General features: G+C 37.6%; 1 protein-coding gene across 7 annotated transcripts in view; it reads left to right on the forward strand.

Annotated features, from left to right (window-relative positions):
- BRCA2 (BRCA2 DNA repair associated) overlaps window positions 1–21,500 on the forward strand; it is an 85,192-nt gene that overhangs the window by 27,469 nt on the left and 36,223 nt on the right. For 6 of the 7 annotated variants that reach the window (NR_176251.1, NM_001432077.1, NM_000059.4 and 3 more), the window contains 7 exons: window positions 2,013–2,108; window positions 4,282–4,351; window positions 12,316–12,743; window positions 13,883–14,064; window positions 15,197–15,384; window positions 19,978–20,148; window positions 20,634–20,988. Coding sequence is in view for 6 of the 7 variants with exons in the window: in NM_001432077.1 (NP_001419006.1) it covers window positions 2,013–2,108; window positions 4,282–4,351; window positions 12,316–12,743; window positions 13,883–14,064; window positions 15,197–15,384; window positions 19,978–20,148; window positions 20,634–20,988 (1,490 nt within the window). In the remaining variant the exon portion in view is untranslated. The remainder of the gene's footprint in view (window positions 1–2,012; window positions 2,109–4,281; window positions 4,352–12,315; window positions 12,744–13,882; window positions 14,065–15,196; window positions 15,385–19,977; window positions 20,149–20,633; window positions 20,989–21,500) is intronic. The other variant, NM_001406719.1, reaches the window with a different exon arrangement.

Here is a 21,500-nt window from a genome sequence, read left to right on the forward strand (position 1 = left end):
ATCATTGTGGGAACATCATAGAGTATACTTACACAAACCTAGGTGGTATAGCCTACTATATACCTAGGCTGTATGGTATAGCTTATTGCTCCTAGGCTGCAAACCTATACAGCATGTTACTGTCCTGAATACTCTAGGCAGTTTTAACACAGTGGCAAGCATTTGTGTATGTGAACATAGAAAAGGTACAGTAAAAATACGGTATTAAAATCTTATGGGGCTGGGCTCAGTGGCTCATGCCTGTAATCCCAGCACTTTGGGAGGCTGAGGCAGGCGGATCACCTGAGGTCAGGAGTTTGAGACCAGCCTGGCCAACATGGTAAAACCTTGTCTCTACTAAAAATATAAAAATTAGCTGGGCATGGTGGTGGCACACGCCTGTAATCCCAGCTACTAGGGAAGTTGAAGCAGGAGAATCACTTGAACCCTGGAGGCAGAGATTTCAGTGAGCCAAGATCGCACCACTGCACTCCTGCCTGGGCGACAGAGCAAGACTCCATCTGAAAAAAAAAAAAAATCTTATGGGACCACTATTAAAGTCTTATAGGATGACCATTGCATATGTGGTCTATTGTTGACCAAAATGTCATTATGTGGCAAATGACTGCATTAGGTTAACCTTATACATACCTATATTAGGTATGTATTTGGTTTTGTTTTTTTGTGTGTGTTTTTTTCTATTAGTGTATCTGACTGGTAATAATCTTAAATAATTGAATCTGTTTGTTAGTTGCAATTAAAGCAAATGCCAAAACTCCAACATTTCAGTGGATAATCTTAAATAACTAGTTCCTTTTTAAAAAACCTATAAACTCATAAAAATATTTTAGTTATTAGAACTCTTCCTGTCTAGACCCCATGTATTACAGAGAGACACCGAAGTTAGTCTCCTCATTCAAAAAGTGCCTTTTGCCCCTAAGTCATTCTGGTGGATACAGATTTACTTAATCAAGTGTTGTCCAGGTCACATTCAATATAGGATTTACTTTATGGACAAAGTAGTACGTTTATAGTACTTAAACTATTTGCTGTCCTTTAGTGTGAAATTCTGAGGTATATATGCTTAAAGATATTTGTAATTCTTTTGTGGAAAATAATGGCTTTATTTATAGCAACCCATTCTGTTCTTGTGCATACTGAAGTATATTGACTTTCCACCTAGGGAAAAAAAAAACAATAACTCAGACTTGTAAATGCTTTCAACGGTGTTACTACTTAATTTCCCTCATTTCTGTAACATATAAGTGTATAACTTAGTCAGCTTCTGGTTACTGGAACAGTACAGGTCACTGTTAAACAATTAAACCACTTTTATAATAATCTAACACCTCCTAAAGCCTTGCATGGACATTTTTACTTATTAAATTATACAAATTTATTCCCTGTAATAAAGCATCAAAAAGCAAAGTACCTGTTATATATTATCTCAGCATGACATGGAAATGCCTACCTTGAATTATGGTTTAATCTTACCCTCTTAGCCTCTGTAGAATTTTTAAATAAGAATTGTTTCTATTACTAGTACTTTAATGTAATTTGATAATTGTAAAAAGCCTCTTAACTCTAATTCAAGGACCTACATAATAAATTACTCCTTCAGTTAATGGCTGCCCCCGTGCTGAAAAAAAAAAAAAAAAAGAGAGAAAAAGTTTATTTGAAGAAATTTTGTTAGGCCTTATTGCCAGTAAACCTAGAGTTATATTTAGTGTCAGTTTTTCAAAAAGTAGCTTATCTGTGGTATCTGGTAGCATCTGTTTATCCTATTTAGGATTTATCCTGTTTAGACCCTGTTAAATAGTGGTGTTTTAAAGTGGTCAAAACAGAACAAAAATGTAATTGACATTGAAGACTGACTTTACTCTTTCAAACATTAGGTCACTATTTGTTGTAAGTATTTTTGTTTAACATTTAAAGAGTCAATACTTTAGCTTTAAAAAAATGGTCTATAGACTTTTGAGAAATAAAACTGATATTATTTGCCTTAAAAACATATATGAAATATTTCTTTTTAGGAGAACCCTCAATCAAAAGAAACTTATTAAATGAATTTGACAGGATAATAGAAAATCAAGAAAAATCCTTAAAGGCTTCAAAAAGCACTCCAGATGGTAAAATTAGCTTTTTATTTATATCTGTTCTCCCTCTATAGGTATGGTATATAATATTCTGACCTCAGGTGATCCACCTGCCTCTCAAAGTGCTGGGATTACAGACATGAGCCACTGTGCCTAATCAAGGACCTCTTTATACTCTTAAAAATTACTGAGGACCTAAAAGAGCATTTGTTTATGTGGAATATATCTATTGATATTTACCATATTAGAAATGTAAATTGATTAATGTTAAAATTAGTAATATTATGCGTTGGTCATTTGGAAGATATGAGTTCACTGAGTTATGCGGATCTTCCGAAAGTTGACAGTTTTATTATGCAGTATTAAACAATCACTTTCATTGATGCCATTACCGATCAGAAAAGTTTAAGTAGTAGAAAGCTGTCAAGCTTACAGAGCCAGATACAAGCTTCCCAAAAATTCTGATTTTCATCTAAAAGCTTGAATTTTTCCCCGGCAATAAGTATTGTCACTTATTTTTCTTGTAGGTGACAAGCTTATTTTCATTCATTTTTGAAAAGATGTCTGCCGAATACCCAAGTCTGAATAACTATAGTTTGTTGGTTATTCTTTCAAGTAAAAGGTATTTCATGAAAAAATAGCTAGTATAGCTCACAACTCAATCATTTAAGTGTGTTTTCTTGAGAAACGCACTGAAGTATGCAAGCATAATATACCAACAGTACAAATATCAACAGTGAAAAGGACATACATAACATTTTACTAATAAGACAGTTTTGACAGCTTGGATTCCCTAAAATGGTTGTAGATACCTAACAGGATTCCACTGATCATTTCTTGAGAATCATTGTCCTATAATATATACATAATAATCTAAATTTACAATATCAGTATTAACTACTGACAATAAAACTACTAAGGAAAATGTAAGAATTGTTTGCAGTTTTTGTCCTTAGAGTATATAGGTTGAGTATCCCTATCTGAAATGCTTGGGACCAGGACTATTTCAGATTTCAGATTTTTTCAGATTTTGAAATGCTTGCATATACAATACATAATGAGATATCTGGGGATAGGACTCAAGTCTAAACACGAAATTTATTTAAGTTTCATAAACACCTTATACATATAACTTAAATGTAATTTTATACAATATTTTAAATAATTTTTGCATAAGACAATTTAAATTGTGATCCATCACATGAGGTCAGATGTGGAATTTTCTACTGGCCTCATGTTGGCACTCAAAAAGTTTCAGGTTTGTGACCATTTTGGATTTTCAGATTAGGGATACTCAACCCATATATTATTAAGAATGTTTAGTCAAAATACTGTGTTCAAATGTCACTCAAAATAATTCTTCCGGATGTGGTTACCAATTTGATAATTAGGTTACATTCCTTTTTTTCCATTTGTTTTCAATTTTAGGATTTGTCTTTTCTTATTTAATTTTACATTTGAATAAATAAAACATTACATAGTTCATTCATCAGAACTACAAAAAGGTATACTTAGAGTTTTTATTCACCCACCTCTTGCTTACTATAGGTAATCTTTTTTAGTGTTTTTTTTTCAGGATTCTGTTTAATAAAAATAAGCAAATACATGTATATACTCATTACCCTTTCTTACTCAAAAGATACAGTATATACACCATTTTGCACCTTGTTTATTGGTTGTTGTTTACTTAAGAATTATTTGGAGATGACTCCTTAATGAGTATATAGAGATCGTCCTCATTCTTTTTTGTGGTTACATAGTAGTTGATCATCTGGCTGTGTCAGTGTTTCCTAGTTTATTTAACCAATTTCCAACTAGTGGACTTATTGAAGATTTAATTAGGTTCCAGTTACATACTGAGAATGAACAATATCTAAAGCTTAGCTTTTAAACCTTCATAAGACTAAATTTTAAATTTGGTATTTGCATCAGAAATTAGCTAACACCTTTGAGTTATGATGGTTAACATCAACTGACTAAATTTATGCTGATTTCTGTTGTATGCTTGTACTGTGAGTTATTTGGTGCATAGTCATTATCAATTTGTGAATCAATTTATTTTCATAGTTAACATTTATTGAGCATCTGTTACATTCACTGAAAATTGTAAAGCCTATAATTGTCTCAAATTTTTTGTGTATTTACAGTAACATGGATATTCTCTTAGATTTTAACTAATATGTAATATAAAATAATTGTTTCCTAGGCACAATAAAAGATCGAAGATTGTTTATGCATCATGTTTCTTTAGAGCCGATTACCTGTGTACCCTTTCGGTAAGACATGTTTAAATTTTTCTAAATTCTAATACAGTATGAGAAAAGTCTCGTTTTTATAAATGAACATTTCTAAAAATAATGACACTAACGTTAAGAAGTTAACACTTCCCGTTTTATAAAATTTATAAAATACTTTGGTAGTATTTTATAGTGCTGTTCATATCATTATTTTATTTTTTAATTTTATGACAGCTTTGTAAAGTAGACAGATTTTATTCTAATTTTATGGATGAAGTACTAAGGTTGAGAGGAATTAAGGAAATTGCTCCGAATCAGTTAACAAAAAGATTGCAGATATTAAAAATATCCTTTTATCTCTCCTCTCTAAACCTTTAAAAAAGTACTAAGATAGTTTTTTTAATGTATAATTCCCAAGGACAATGATGAGAAGAAACAACAAAAGTTTGGAAGCCAAAAACATAAAGGATTTAGTAAGCATGAGAAAGCTAAAACCTGACACTAGAGCAAACAGAGATGCTTTCCCCTAAAAAACCTGAAAAAGATTCAAATTGGCAGCAACAGGTACTTCTGAAGGTGAAGTAGAAAATAGGAAGATTAGTTGAAATTCTTTTTAAGAAACATCTATATTTCCTCCCCCACTGCAAATAGGCGGTTATCCTTCTTCTGCCAGGAAATCAGAAGGTTGTTCTTGAAAAAGATGAATTGAGAGGATTCTGAATTGAAGGTGGGCTGGAGGGAGGGGACACCAGGCACAATTGAGGGAAAGATACTAAAATGAAAGATCAGATACAAATCTGTATGTCAAGCAGTGAGACCTAGCTCCTTCCCACACTTGGTTCCCAAATGCAGGCCCTCTAGGCATGAGACTGGAAGATTTTTTTTTCCTAGGGAATATGCCTGACCCAATAGAAAAGACCAAAAAATACTGACAGTTGAGGATACTCAGATGAAACAGTATAGCCAGTCACCAGACCAGGAAGTTAACTGTTGACATGCACAGAGCTTCCAGGAAGCTACTTAGTGCTTCACTTTTAAATAAGAAAAGATAGTCAAAGATAACTAGTCATTGGAAGAAAGCTACTATGAAACATAGTCACCAAAGTACAAAATCCATAGCAGAAAGGAACCTAGAGGAAATCGACTATGAAAACTTCATAAAAACCTACTAATATTCTCAGGTAAGAAAAGAAAAAATGGCCGTAAAATAAGAACAAGTTGCTATAAAAAGCTCTTAGAAATTAAAAATATGATAGCACAAATAAATTAACTCAGTAGAAATAATGGAAGAATCATGAAAGTTCCCAGAATACAGAATAAAATGAAAAAAGGTATGAAAAGTCAATTCTGTGGATCTATCATCTGAAAATACAGAGTTTGAGAAGGAAGGCACAGAAGAGAAATGAAGAAAGAAATTTTAAAATAAATACATAATTTTAAAAGTTCTACTAGTACTGAAGGACATGAGTTTCCTTAATTAAAAGGGCCCACTGAGTGAGCACACAAGTAAAAATGACCCACAGTAAGGCACATCCTTGTGAATTTTTAGAATAATAGAGGCAGACAGGAACCTTAAATTCATTAGAGGACCAAGAAGTTAGGTTTCAAATTGTTTCAAGCCATAATAGTATGAATTCTCTTATTATCAACAATGGAATCTAGAAGACTGTAGATCTTATATAATACAGAGAAGTGCCTTCAAAATACTGAGAGAAAATGATTTCCAACCTAGAATCTGAATTAAGTGTGAGGGTAGACATTTTTCAGATGTGAAGTACTAAAAGATCTCTTGTGCGCTTTTCTCAGGAAACTAACCAAAACAAATGCATACACCAAGAAGGAGGAAGGTATAGGACTTAAGAAATAAGAATTCAACATAGAAGAGAGGCAAAGGGAGCTTTCAGGATGATATTGAAGGGAGATCCCAGAGTAGCTGTGTTGCTAAGTCTAGAAAGGCAGCTAGACTACTTTGGAACTGAAGAAGATAAGAGACTTTGGAAGAGTTTGCCTTCAAGATAAAAATAAAGCAGTACCTGCATGTTTTAATGTATTAGGAAACTTCTTAGTAAAGATGGTGAATTGAGGCCAGGCACAGTGGCTTACACCTGTAATCCAGCACATTGGGAGGCTGAGGTGGGTAGATCACTTGAGGCCAGGAGTTCGAGACTAGCCTGGCCAACATGGTAAAATCCCATCTCTACTGAAAATACAAAAATTAGCCAGGCGTGGTGGCACACGCCTGTAATCCCAGCTACTCCAGAGGCTGAGGCACAAGAACCGCTTGAACCTTTGAGGTGGAGGTTGTGGTAAAATTGCACCACTGCACTTCAGCCTGGGTGACAGAGTGAGACTCTGTCTCAAAAAAAAAAAAAAAAAAAAAAAGATGGTGAATTGAACATACTCATATCCTTTCTTTGCCTTCCAAACTTTTACCAAAACATCATTGAAGAAACTTACACACACACAAAAAAAAAACAAGGAAAATAGGAAATAACAAAGTAACTAAATTTCTCAAAGCATGCAGAAGGAAACTGAATGAAAGCTGGTGGTGGGGACAGCAGAGAACCAACGATTTTACACTCAGGTCTCAAAAGACTAGGAATTGGTGGCTTCATTTCTTATCTTTAGAATTGGGTGGTGCAGAAGGAGGGAGCCAAAATGGAATAAGTTGAAATTATGTTTAAGAAGCAATACTCGCCGGGTACGGTGGCTCACATGGAGGCTGAGGCGGGTGAATCACCTGAGGTCAGGAATTCGAGACCAGCCTGGCTAACATGGTGAAACCCCATCTCTGTTAAAAATGCAAAAATTAGCTCGGCATGGTAGCATGCCCCTGTAATCCAGCTACTCAGGAGGCTGAGGTGGGAGAACTGCTTGAACCCAGGAGGTGGAGGCTGCAGTGAGCCAAGATTGCGCCACTGCACTCCAGCCTGGACGACAGAGCAAGACCCCACATCAAAAAAAAAAAAAAAAAAGCAGCAGCAGCAATACTCATGAAGCTGGGCAACTGTCTCCTGCCCGCTCTATGAAAAGAACCAGAGGCTTATTCTCCAGAGAGGATACAGTAGAAGGTGAACACACTAGGCACAGTTGAAGGCAGAAGCAACTACTTGAAAGCAAGAAGAAGTTAATATATGCATATTGAATGTTGGGATCTCCCCTCACCAAGCCCTTTTCCACCACTCAGCTTCCAGAACATAGACAGCTAAGTTTTCACTAGTGGAAGTTTCCATTTAATCAAGCTACTGTGTAGCTTGCAGTCAACAAGTTCTATCTTTGTACCAAGTGCTTCAAAACAGCCTTTTGGTCCCTCACTCTTAACTATAAACAGACATCCAAAGATTATGAGACATCAGAAAAAGCAAAAATAAAATAACCAAAAAACACATTAATGAAAACAACTTAGAAGAAACATTATTCAAGGAGAAGAAAAAATGTTTTTTTAAAAACTATAATTTGTGAACAGAATGAAAAGAGGTTTATATATATAGCTAAGAGTTTAGATGTGAATAAACAGTAAGTACATAGAAAATAAGCAGATTTTAAAAATTAACTCAAGAGAAAGCAAAAGTTGTAAAGGAAGTACACTATTTATATACTACCCATTAATGGCCGGGTGTGGTGGTTCACGCCTGTAATCCCAGCACTTTGGGAGGCCGAGGCGGGTGGATCACAAGGTCAGGAGATCGAGACCATCCTGGCTAACATGGTGAAACCCCATCTCTACTAAAAATAACAAAACAAAATTAGCCAGACGTAGTGGTGGGCGCCTGTAGTCCCAGCTACTTGGGAGGCTGAGGCAGGAGAATGGCATCAACCCAGGAGGCGGAGCTTTCAGTGAGCCGAGATTGCACCACTGCACTCCAGCCTGGGCGAGAGAGCGAGACTCCGTCTCAAAAAAAAAACAACAAAATAAAAAAATAAAATAAAATATACTGCCTATTAATACTACATATACTTTATACTGACTTAGCCGTAATGTAAATGTTGAACATTGATAGTGAGAGGTGAAGCTGGCTGGGCTTCTGGGTCGTGTGGGGACTTGGAGAACTTTTCTGTCCGGCTAAAGGATTGTAAACACACCAATCAGCGCTCTGTGTCTAGCTAAAGGTTTGTAAACGCACCGGTCAGCACTCTGTGTCTAGCTAAAGGTTTGTAAATGCACCAATCAGCACTCTGTAAAATAGACCAATCAGCAGGACGTGGGCGGGGCCAAATAAGGGAATAAAAGCTGGCCACCTGAGCCAGCCCCAGCAGCCGCTCGGCTCCACTTCCATGCCATGGAATCTTTGTTTTTTCACTCTTTGCAATGAATCTTGCTGCTGCTCACTCTTTAGTGAGCACTACCTTTATGAGCTGTAACACTCACCACGAAGGTCTGCGGCTTCACTCCTGAAGTCAGCAAGACCACGAACCCACCAGGAAGAAGAAACAACCCTGTACGTGCCATCTTTGAGAGCTGTAACACTCACTGGGAAGGTCTGCGGCTTCACTCCTGAAGTCAGCAAGACCACAAACCCACCAGAAAGAAGAAACTCTGGACACATCTGAACATCAGGAAGAACAAACTCGGGACACACTATCTTTAAGAACTGTAACACCATGAGGGTCCACAGCTTCATTCTTGAAGTCAGCAAGACCAAGAACCCACCAGAAGGAACCAATTCCGGACACAGTAGAATTAAATACGTAATTTAGGAAGATGAAAGGCAAGAGTGTGTGTGTAGTAAGGTAGAAGCTGTGTTGACAGAGCTGAATTTTCATTTTCTGTAGGGGTACTTCAAGAGAAAAAGTCAAGAAGAAACATGTCACTTAGACATATAAATATGATAAAATCATCTAAAACTGTTTAAAGTAGTTGCAAAATCTTTTCTAGCTGATAAATTTTTAAGCCTAAAAATATCATTGAAATTATTTTAATGTTACATTTTATTTTATTTTATTTATTTATTTATTTATTTTGATACAGAGTCTCACTCTGTCGCCCAGGCTGGAGTACAGTGGCACGATCTTGGCTCACTGCAACCTCTGCCTCCTAGGTTCAAGCGACTCTCCTGCTTCAGCCTCCCAAGTAGCCGGGATTACAGGCGCGTGCCACCATGCCCGGCTAATTTTTTGTATTTTTACTAGAGAAGGGGTTTCACCGTGTTAGCCAGGATGGTCTGGATCTCCTGACCTCGTGATCCGCCCACCTTGGCCTCCCAAGGTGCTGGGATTACAGACGTGAGCCACTGTACCAGGCCTAATGTTACCTTTTCAAAAACACCTGATTGTGGAATTGTTGAAGTCACTGAGTTGTATTTCTGGAATGTGTTTTTTAGCAGGCTGCACATACACATATGTAGAAAGCCAGGTGATTTTTTTTTCATTTCTTTTTTTTTTATCAAAAACAGTTGTATTAAATAAGAAAGGAAATACGTATTTACCCGTGTATTACCTTAATTTATGTGTAAAATGGGAGAATAGTTTAATGTATTTAACAAACAAACATTTGTTAAAGTACCTGCTCAAACTACCTAATATATACTATAGTGAAAGATATAAGGATAAATAAGTCTAACTCAGATTGCTAGCCTGGGAACCAGACATGAAAACAAGAATTATAATGTAATATAAATTCTAGAATAGATGTAAAAAGTGATCTAAGAACATAGAAAAATTATCAGCTAATCACATGACTGCTCAATGGGAAAAGTACTTCAGACAGAATGTAAAGAATGCTTGGTTAAAGATGGCATTCCAAATCTTGGAATTTGGTTGGGGGACAGAGGGAAACAAAAAGAAATGGGGAGGTTAGGACCAAATAGGAAGCTTCCTGTATGTCATTTCTGATAAGTTGAAACCTAGGTAGGTGATAGGCTGTCTTTGGAAGTTTCTAACAAGAGGAACAAAATAAGATTGGTGTTTTAGAAGTATACCAAAGCAAAACTGTTGCAAGGAGATTAGTAAATACAGGTCTTAACCTAGCAGAGGAGGTAGAGGGTAGAGAATGATTGAGATAGAAATTCAGTAGATTTGGCCAGATAGTGATAAGTTGAGACTGGCAAATTATTTCCACTTAGATTTAAATAGATATCTTGAGCATAACCTACAAGGCAAACTCCTTATACTAAAAATATTCTGAATATTTAAAAAGAAAGGATTAAAAGATCAATCAATAGAAGTTTGGGGACAGAAGGTTTATTCATTCTTGTGCATTAGATCTCATCTAGATCACCTGTTTGAAGAAATCATTCCAGCAATTATCTTGTCTCTCTCCTGCATGGATTTTTTTCCTAATAGATTGTTCTCATCACCCTAAGCAGTTGTTGTACATCTCTCATCTTAAAAAGAACAGCCTTTCTTAAGTAATCTCAACAGTCCATTTTCTTCTCTTAAAGCCCAACTCATTAGAATTGTCCCTCCTCTTTTCACTTATCTCTTTGAGTACTCTCCTGAACCCAGTCTAGTCAGTCCTTTCAGTAGAACTGGTCCCCCTGCTTACCTCCCTACTCCTCAATACACAGTGAATTCTCAACAAAGAAGCCGGGGGATCCTTTTAAACATAAGACAGATTATGTCATTTCTTTACTCAGAACTATTCCGTGGTGTGCCATCTCAGAGTAGAGACTAAAAGCCCTTGTCATGGTGTACAGATTCTTCATGATCTGGCTGCTTTGCTATTTTTCCAGTCTGACCTTCTAATGTTCCCCTTGCTCTCCTTGCTCCAGGCACACTTGTGTCTAGGCCAATCGACATATTTGTTTGTCTGTTTCCTTCCACTGAAATATACATGCAAAAACAAAATTTTGTTACCGTGTTCCCCAGCAAAACAATGTCTGGCACCTGGTAGGAATTCATTAAATAGTTGATGGATGGGCGAACGGATAACTAAAGGAACAACTTCAAGTTCCAGGTATCCAGGGTTTGGTAAAAGGAAATCTGGGGTTTTCAACAAGATATCAAGTATTAGGAAGACCACGTATGCTGAGAAAGATGATCACTTTTGGACATGTTGAGTTTGAAATGAGTGTGAAACATCAAGGTACAGATGTCTGATGCTATATGTAGTGTAAAATGTAGGAACAACCCTAGGAGAAAAATCGGGCATGAGGATAAAGGATATTTTCATTGTTAGGTGATAATTTAAGCAATGGAAATGACTCACATTAGCAAGGGAAAGTGTCTAAGGAAGACATCCAGTTTTGGAGACTTTTTTTGAGGAATCAGGAAGAGGTAAAACCAGTAAAAGATGAAAGAGGTACAGTGATGGTGAGAATTTTAAAAGAAGGAAAATGTAAACTGTCATAGCTATTAGGAAAGTTGAGTAGAATGAGTTTGCGTGCATCCCACATGCATCTGGGAGGTCATTAACAACTTTATTGAGAACAGTTTCTGTAGAGTAGTGGGAGAAATGAGAGTTTATTGAGTAGAGATTGAGGAAGTGAAAATAGCTACATTACCTATTGAAGAAGGTTGACTGTGGAGTGTAACAGTGAGTATTAGCTTGAGGCAGAGATAAAGGTGAGTGAGAAAATAAGAGTTTCAAAGGTAGGCAAGATTTTTGGGCTAAATAAAAAGGGCACTTTAAAAAAGGTATAAATAGGTAGAAGAGAGAAAAGGGAGCGAGGTGGGATAATTGAAAGAGGGGATCTCCTGTGGAGACTGAGGTATTAGGCGGAGTAGAGAGTTCAGGTGAAGATGTGAAGGTGAGAGAAGAGGATGGGTAGACATTTCCCTGGTGAAGGAGGTAAGGAGTACTATGATGGAATTAGAGGGGACACACTGAGAGGGTCCACACTTGACAGACTCTCTTCTATTATGTGTTATGTGAGGTAGATTGTAAAGTCAAAGGCTAGCCTTGAAAAATGTGATATTGTTTTGGAATGGCAACCATGGTGAATACAAAACAGTTACCAGAATAGTATCACCATGTAGCAAATGAGGGTCTGCAACAAAGGCATATTCCTAAATATTTATATGTGTACTAGTCAATAAACTTATATATTTTCTCCCCATTGCAGCACAACTAAGGAACGTCAAGAGATACAGAATCCAAATTTTACCGCACCTGGTCAAGAATTTCTGTCTAAATCTCATTTGTATGAACATCTGACTTTGGAAAAATCTTCAAGCAATTTAGCAGTTTCAGGACATCCATTTTATCAAGTTTCTGCTACAAGAAATGAAAAAATGAGACACTTGATTACTACAGGCAGACCAACCAAAGTCTTTGTTCCACCTTTTAAAACTAAATCACATTTTCACAGAGTTGAACAGTGTGTTAGGAATATTAACTTGGAGGAAAACAGACAAAAGCAAAACATTGATGGACATGGCTCTGATGATAGTAAAAATAAGATTAATGACAATGAGATTCATCAGTTTAACAAAAACAACTCCAATCAAGCAGTAGCTGTAACTTTCACAAAGTGTGAAGAAGAACCTTTAGGTATTGTATGACAATTTGTGTGATGAATTTTTGCCTTTCAGTTAGATATTTCCGTTGTTAAATAATGTCCTGATGGTTTTCCCCCTTTGGTGGTGGTAATTTTAAAGCCCTTTTTAATGTTTTAGATTTTCTAAATCCAAAGATTAGGTTTAAATTATTCTAATGTTTCTTTCAAAGATAACTTCTTGTGGACTTGTTAAAAAAAATTAGACACACAATCTAGGACTGCTGTTACTGGAATATATTTTCTATCATGCTACTAATTTTCTTTTTAAAATGTGATAAAAATAGGGCCGGGCGTGGTGGCTCATGCCTGTAATCCCAGAACTTTGGGAGACTAAGGCGGGCGGATCACCTGAGGTCAGGAGTTCAAGACCAGCCTGGCCAACATAGTGAAACCCTGTCTCTACTAAAAATACAAAATAAATAAATAAATAAATAAATAGCTGAGCGTGGTGGCAGGCACCTGTAATCCCAGCTGCTTGGGAGGCTGAGGCAGGAGAATCGTTTGAACCCGGGAGGCAGAGGTTGCAGTGAGCCGAGATCGCGCCATTGCACTCCAGCCTGGGCAACAAGAGTGAAAAACTCTGTCTCAAAAAGAGATAAAAATAGTAAAGATATTCATATTTATACAGCTTTACAAGTTGAAACATCCTTTCATTTATGAAGAATTAAAAGGGGTACCCTTTTTAGAGAAAAGGAGAGCATGTAAACTTCGAGGAAATTGATATGTATAATTTTATAAAACAGGGCTTGCGCTTTTTTTTTTTTGAGACAGAGTTTCGCTCTTGTTGCCCAGGCTGGAGTGCAATGGTGCAACCTCGGCTCACCGCAACCTCCTCCTCCCGAGTTCAAGTGATTCTCCTGCCTCAGCCTGCTGAATAGCTGGGATTACAGGCATGTGCCACCACACCTGGCTACTTTTGTGTTTTTTTTACTTTTATATATTTTTTTTTTGTTTAGTAGAGACAGGGTTTCTCCATTTTGGTCAGGCTGGTCTTGAACTCCCGACCTCAGATGATCTGCCCGCCTCAGCCTCCCAAAGTGCTGGGATTACAGGCGTGAGCCACTGTGCCTGGCCAGGGGTTGTGCTTTTTAAATTTCAATTTTATTTTTGCTAAGTATTTATTCTTTGATAGATTTAATTACAAGTCTTCAGAATGCCAGAGATATACAGGATATGCGAATTAAGAAGAAACAAAGGCAACGCGTCTTTCCACAGCCAGGCAGTCTGTATCTTGCAAAAACATCCACTCTGCCTCGAATCTCTCTGAAAGCAGCAGTAGGAGGCCAAGTTCCCTCTGCGTGTTCTCATAAACAGGTATGTGTTTGTCTACAATACTGATGGCTTTTATGACAGAGTGTAATTTTATTTCATTAACTAGTATCTACAAATGGCTTTGTTTAAAGAATGAACACATTAGTGCAGGAATGGATGAATGAAATCATCATATTTTCTAATTAGCCTGCAGTGGCAGCCTCTGGCCCCTTGCTAGGCCTGCCTCATCCTGCTAAAGTGATCTGTGCTTCCAAATTACTACTTCTTTTCCCCCTTCAAATCTTTCTTATTTTGTCATTGTAAATGCTCTCAGCTAGGTGTTAAAGTAGTCTTACTGATATTCAAATGTGAATAACTGATAGCCCTGAACCTTCTATGAGCTATTTATATTTTCCAAAGAGGATTCTCCTTAAGCCAATATTATCTAGGTAGAATTTTAGGCAATGGAGAGGTGAAAATAATATTGATGACATTAATAGCTAACTTTGAGCATTTTCTAGGTGTAAGATGCTCTTCTAAGCACTTCACATGCATTAGGTATATCTTGCTTAATCCTCACAGTCACCTTGAAAGAAAGGCACTGTTACTTTGTTTCCATTTTGCAAATGAGAGAACTGAAGCATAGAGAGGGTTAAGTAACTGCCCCAAAGTCACTTAACTAGTAAGTGGAAGTGCTATGATTCCAAAGCAAAGAGTCTGACTCCAGAGTCAAACTCTGAACAAACAAAAAGACACTTTGGGTTAGATATCCTGGGGTGAAAGCAAGCACTTTGAAAGTAAGCCAAGCCTGTGTACAGATCTGACCACCTGAGGTCACATTCCCTAAAATACTTAAACTTCTCCCTTTTGTTTCCCATCTAAGTTTTTGAACTTAAGAGATTTTGTAAAACATCACATTTTTTTATCCTCACAGTACCTTCCTATGGCAGATTTAGCAGGAGGCGTATAAACGGGGTGGAAAAGGTACAGCAGACTGTGGAATGTATGGATCATTTATATTACATTAAAATTTTTAGTTTCTAGTAAATAACTTAAATGTTTTTGTAGTGAAGATTCTAGTAGTTAATGAAAATTTTTGGTAAATTCAGTTTTGGTTTGTTATAATTGTTTTTATTGTGTGATACATGTTTACTTTAAATTGTTTTTCTTTTTTGTGTGTGTTTATTTTGTGTAGCTGTATACGTATGGCGTTTCTAAACATTGCATAAAAATTAACAGCAAAAATGCAGAGTCTTTTCAGTTTCACACTGAAGATTATTTTGGTAAGGAAAGTTTATGGACTGGAAAAGGAATACAGTTGGCTGATGGTGGATGGCTCATACCCTCCAATGATGGAAAGGCTGGAAAAGAAGAATTTTATAGGTACTCTATGCAAAAAGATTGTGTGTTAACTTTTATGTATTCCCTCATCCCTCTTTCTTCTCTTAACTGTCTCTCGAACTAAAAAGTTGGCTAGAAATCAAATTTTTATGCATTTAATTGTTTTAAGTGCATTATGGTTAAGCATTCTGTAGAAGTCTTTTGAAAAGTGCTGTTTGTCCTGGGGTTTAATGAACTGGATTTTCTTGATTTGGGACATTTTTCTTAGGCATTTATAAATATAGCCCAATTTATAAAGTTAAATTTGGCCGGGTACAGTGGCTCATGCCTGTAATCCCAGCACTTTGGGAGGCCGAGGCGGGTAGATCACCTGAGGTCAGGAGTTCGAGACCAGCCTGGCCAACGTGGCGAAACCCCATCTCTACTAAAAGTACAAGAACTATCTGGGCGTGGTGGCAGGCACCTGTAATCCCGGCTACTCTGGAGGCTGAGGCAGGAGAATCGCTTGAACCTGGGAGGCAGAGGTTGCAGTGAGCCAAGATTGAGCCACTGCACTCCAGGCTGGGCGATAAGAGTGAGACTCCATCTCAAAAAAAAAAAAAAGAAAAAAGTTAAATTTGAGGGCCAGACATGGTGGCTCATGCCTGTAATCCCAGCACTTTGGGAGGCTGAGGTGGGCAGATCTCTTGAGCACAGGAGTTTGAGACCAGCCTGGGCAACATGGTGAAAACCCATCTCTACAAACAAATTAAAAAATTAGCCCAGCCAGGCGCGGTGGCTCACGCCTGTAGTCCCAACACTTCGGAAGGCCAAGATGGGCCAATTACCTGAGGGTCAGGAGTTCGAGACCAGCCTGGCCAACATGGTGAAACCCCAGCTCTACTAAAAATACAAAAATTAGCCAGGTATGGTGATGCATGCCCGTAATCCCAGCTACTCGGGAGGCTGAGGCAGGAGAATCATTTGAGCCCAGTAGGTGGAGGTTGCAGTGAGCCAAGATCACGCCACTGCACTCCAGCCTGGGCAACAGAGCAAGACCCTATTTCAAAAAAGGCCAGGTGCGGTGGCTCACACCTATAATCCCAGCACTTTGGGAGGTTGAGGTGGGCAGATCACCTGAGGTCAGGAATTTGAAACCAGCCTGGCCAACATGGCAAAACCCCATCTCTACTAAAAATACAAAAATTAGCTGGACGTGGTGGCACGCGCCTGCAATCCCACTTACTTGGGAGGCCGAGGCAGGAAAATCGTTTGAACCCGGGAGGCGGAGGTTGCAGTGAGCCAAAATTGCACCACTGCACTGCAGCCTGGGCAACAGTGAGACTCCATCTCAAGAAAAAAAAAAAAAAAAAAAAAGAAAGTTAAATTTGAAATGGCCTTATGGTAGATTCCTCCCCCGACACACACTTACTTCATGTTTTCTTTCATTATATATTTTAATGGATACAAAATATAAATAAACACTAAAAGTTAAACAGAAATATTTGAATATCAATAATGCCAAATAACTAGAAAATCTCAGAGCTCTAAAACAGCAACAATTTAGAAACTATATAACCTCTTTTTATTGTAGTTTTTACAGAAACATAATTTAAAGCTTTTTGTTATCAGAGATATATTACATTATGCCAGTGGCAAAAGATGGGATTTATTTCCTCAGCATCCTTATCTTTAAATTTCTGTACATCTTTCCAAAATTTATAGCTTTGGAAAAGTGATAAAACTTTTTTTCCTGAATTTTGTTTTAACTTTTAAAAACAGAAATATTGTTTACATCTTGCGTATCTTATATAACAAACATCTGCTTATAGATTCCAGTAAGAAAAGTTGGTTAAACGGTTGTATTATTTTCTCGTACTAAATAGACTGCATAAGGTAGAAGTTAAGAATGATTGCCCTGTAGTCTAAGTGGAAATGTGGAGGCTTTCGTTAGTTTTTTCTGATAATTCAGCAAATCTCTATTGAGCACTTGCTATGTGCCAGGTACTATTCTGGGTACTAGGGATAATAAAGGAAAACAAAAAAGTCCCTGCCCTGATGAGTCATACATTCTATGTGGAAGGCATAGAAAATATTGAAATATAAGTGAATTGTGTAGTATGTTAGAAGAAGATACATACTATAAAGATAGATAAAGTTGGAAAGGTGGCAGAGAAAGTTGGGCAAGGAGATGCGATTTTTAATCTAATAAGTAGTTAGGAAGGCTTCACTGAGTCAGCTACATTTGATAAATGACCTAAAGTAAAAGGAGGGAGCATAGGACTATCCTAGCAAAAGACCCCCAGCCTCTAAGAGGGGAGCATGCTTGAAGTATTTGAGGAACAGGAAGTTAGTGCAACTGGAGTAGAGTGGGCAGGAGAAGAGTAGTAGTAGATGAGATACAAAAGGAAGACCTCATAGACCTTCGTAAGACCCTTACCTTTTACTCTGCACGATTTTTACTGAATAAACCACTGGAAGGCTTAAAGGGTAACATGATCTGACTTTTTTTTGAGACAGTCTCACTCTATTGCTCAGGCTGGAGTGCAGTGGTGCAATCTCGGCTCACTGCAGCCTCCACCTCCCAGGTTCAAGCGATTCTCCTGCCTCAGCCTCCCGTGTAGCTGGGACTACAGGCGCGCACCACCGTGCCCGGCTGATTTTTGTGTTTTTAGTAGAGACAGGGTTTCACCATGTTGGCCAGGTTGGTCTCAAACTCCTGACCTCAGGATCCACCCTCCTCGGCCTCCCAAAGTGCTGGAATTACAGGTGTGAGCCACTGTGTCCAGCCTGATCTGACTTATTTTTGAAAAAATAATTCTGGCTGTTTGTTGAGGAGAGGGGCAAAGATGGACACACAGAGACCACTTAAGCTATTGCAGAAATACATGTGAGAGGTGGTTGGTTGGACCAGGGAAGTGGCAGTGGAATTGGTGGAAAGCAGTTGGACTCTGGGGTATTTTGAAAGTGGCACTATTAGGAGTTGCTCAAGGATTAGATATAAAACGTGAGAGAGGAGGAGAATAAGAATGGCTGTGAAGATTTTGGCCTTAGCAGCTGGAAGGATAGAGTTGTATGTAACTACTAGAATTGAGAAGACCAAAGATGGAGGGAAATGGAGAGTTTGGTTTTGGACATTTGAAGCTTGAGATGTAATAGTAGACAGCCAAGTGGAGATGTTAGGTAGGCAGTTGGATATGGAAGTCTATACACAGGTAAAGTATAGGCCAAATAAATCAATTCACAAGTCATCGGCATATAGATGGACTTGAAGGCCATGAAAAAGAGACTGAGAAAGAGCAGCCAGAAAGTTAGGAATAAATGCAGAATGGGGTGTTGCATTCCAAATGAAGATGGAATTTTAGGGAATAGAAAATGACCAGCTGTGGAAGCTGCTTCTAATAGGTAAAGTAAGATGAGGACTGAGATTGGCCGCTGGATTTAGCACTGCAGAAGACATTACTAATGTTATTAAAAATAGCTCAATAGATTGGTGGAGTGATATCCTGATTAGAATGCAATTAAAGAGCAGTTGAAGAGGAGGAATTGGAGACACAGAATACAGTCGATTCTTTTGGGAGTTGCCAAAAAGAAGCAGAGAGAGGGACATTGCTTGGAGAGGAAGTAGGATCAAAGAGTCTTAGTTTTGGCTTGTTTTAAGGTAGAAAAAAACCGTTTCTTATGCTGATTCACATTGTTCAGTAGAGAGGGAAAAAATTGATGATGCAGGAGAGAGAGGAGGCATTTCCTGATCGTTGGCCTTGTAGGCAGCAAGGGGTAGGAGCTAGTGCACAAATGGTAGAAGAGGGCAAAGTGTAAGGATGCAGATGCTTGGAAGAGGGCAAAGTGTAGGGATACAGATGCTGTGAGTGGATAGATATGAGGGTGGGAGCTTATGGAAGTTCTCTTTTGATTACTTCTGTTGTCTTAGTGCTAAGAGTATGAATGAGAAAGGAGGAGTTAGAGATTTGAGAACAGAGGGGACAGGATCAAAGAGAGCACCAAGACTAAGAAAGGCAGTTCTCAGGCGTGATTTCTAAAAAAATCTCTTTCATAAGAAAAATAATCTAAAATATAATTATTTAAAATCAAGGATCTCATTTTTCAGGAACAAATATGAGTTGAAATCATTCTGTTGACTGTTAAGTGGAATTTTTTGTTTTGTTTTTATATTTTGAGATAGGGTCTCACTCTTGTCCAGGCTGGAGTGCAGTGGCACTATCATGGCTCACTGCAGCCTCAACCTCCTGGGCTCAAGCAATCCTCCCACCACAGCCTCCTAAGTAGCTGGGACCACAGATGTGAGCTACCACTCTTGGCTGATTTTTTTTATTATTTTTTGTAGAGATGTGGGGGTCTCACTATGTTGCCTAGGCTGGTCTCAAACTTCTGGCCTCAAGCAATCCTCCTGCCTCAGCTTCCCAAAATGCTGGGAGTATAGGCATGAGCCACCATGCTCAGCAATGAAGTTTTTATCAGTATGATACTTTGATACATGTCAAATAATTTTCTGAAATTATATTGTAGATCATATGAACTCATAAAAACTTAATGATCTTGAACAATGTAGTTTTTGTACAGAGAATAGTTGTAGTTGTTGAATTCAGTATCATCCTATGTGGTTTTTATGATAATATTCTACTTTTATTTGTTCAGGGCTCTGTGTGACACTCCAGGTGTGGATCCAAAGCTTATTTCTAGAATTTGGGTTTATAATCACTATAGATGGATCATATGGAAACTGGCAGCTATGGAATGTGCCTTTCCTAAGGAATTTGCTAATAGATGCCTAAGCCCAGAAAGGGTGCTTCTTCAACTAAAATACAGGCAAGTTTAAAGCATTACATTACGTAATCATATACGGCAGTATGGTTAAGGTTTCTGTGTAGTCTGTGACTTCCATGTCAAAATGTTGCACAAGCCAGTTGTCAGTGACAGTTGCCATCCCACACTGCTGTTCTCCTGTCATCCCTAGCCCCCATTTAAGAGAGATCACACATTCATGCATTGCTTGCTTCCCTCTTTCCCCACCCCCTCCTTAACCTCTTGATGTATGAGAAGAATATGAGTTACTAATTTGATCCACTATTTGGGGATTGCTAATAAAGCATTTTTGCATTTTATTTTTTGCTTTTTAAAAATAATTGATATTTTAACAATATGAAACAATATATTCCTAGCTACAAAATTTTTAATTCTCAGTATTTCTTAGATAAATTCAGTTTTTATTCTCAGTTATTCAGTGACTTGTTTAAACAGTGGAATTCTAGAGTCACACTTCCTAAAATATGCATTTTTGTTTTCACTTTTAGATATGATACGGAAATTGATAGAAGCAGAAGATCGGCTATAAAAAAGATAATGGAAAGGGATGACACAGCTGCAAAAACACTTGTTCTCTGTGTTTCTGACATAATTTCATTGAGCGCAAATATATCTGAAACTTCTAGCAATAAAACTAGTAGTGCAGATACCCAAAAAGTGGCCATTATTGAACTTACAGATGGGTGGTATGCTGTTAAGGCCCAGTTAGATCCTCCCCTCTTAGCTGTCTTAAAGAATGGCAGACTGACAGTTGGTCAGAAGATTATTCTTCATGGAGCAGAACTGGTGGGCTCTCCTGATGCCTGTACACCTCTTGAAGCCCCAGAATCTCTTATGTTAAAGGTAAATTAATTTGCACTCTTGGTAAAAATCAGTCATTGATTCAGTTAAATTCTAGAAGTTTTACATTTAAATTTTAAATGCTTACTAAGGATGCTCAATTTCTTAGATGTACTGATAATTTTAGTATAAAAAGCATATTCTTCAGACAGTTAAAGTTTTTGTGCAGTTTTTGGGAGGTCCAGAGATCTTTCTTGAGCTTAAATAATGCATTTCCAATTAAAAAGCAAAATAAATTTGCACCATTTGATTTTGGTATCTGTAGCTTGCTGCCCTCTTGTTCTCATAGCTTTGCTTTGATCAGATCCCTATTCCACTCTGGATTAGAGAATTACATTTTAGTACTTTTCAAATATGTAATAGATACACTTTTTATCTCTATGTAGATTTTAAACTACATAACAGGACTCTTTGTCATATTGAATGGTCTGCAGTATTGCTATCTGAAATTACCGATAATATTGTACATTCAGATTCACTTAAGAGGTAACCTTGCAGAGAATTTACTTCTGTGG

Source organism: Homo sapiens, chromosome 13 (genome assembly GCF_000001405.40).
Source record: "Homo sapiens chromosome 13, GRCh38.p14 Primary Assembly".
Lineage (NCBI taxonomy): Eukaryota > Metazoa > Chordata > Mammalia > Primates > Hominidae > Homo > Homo sapiens.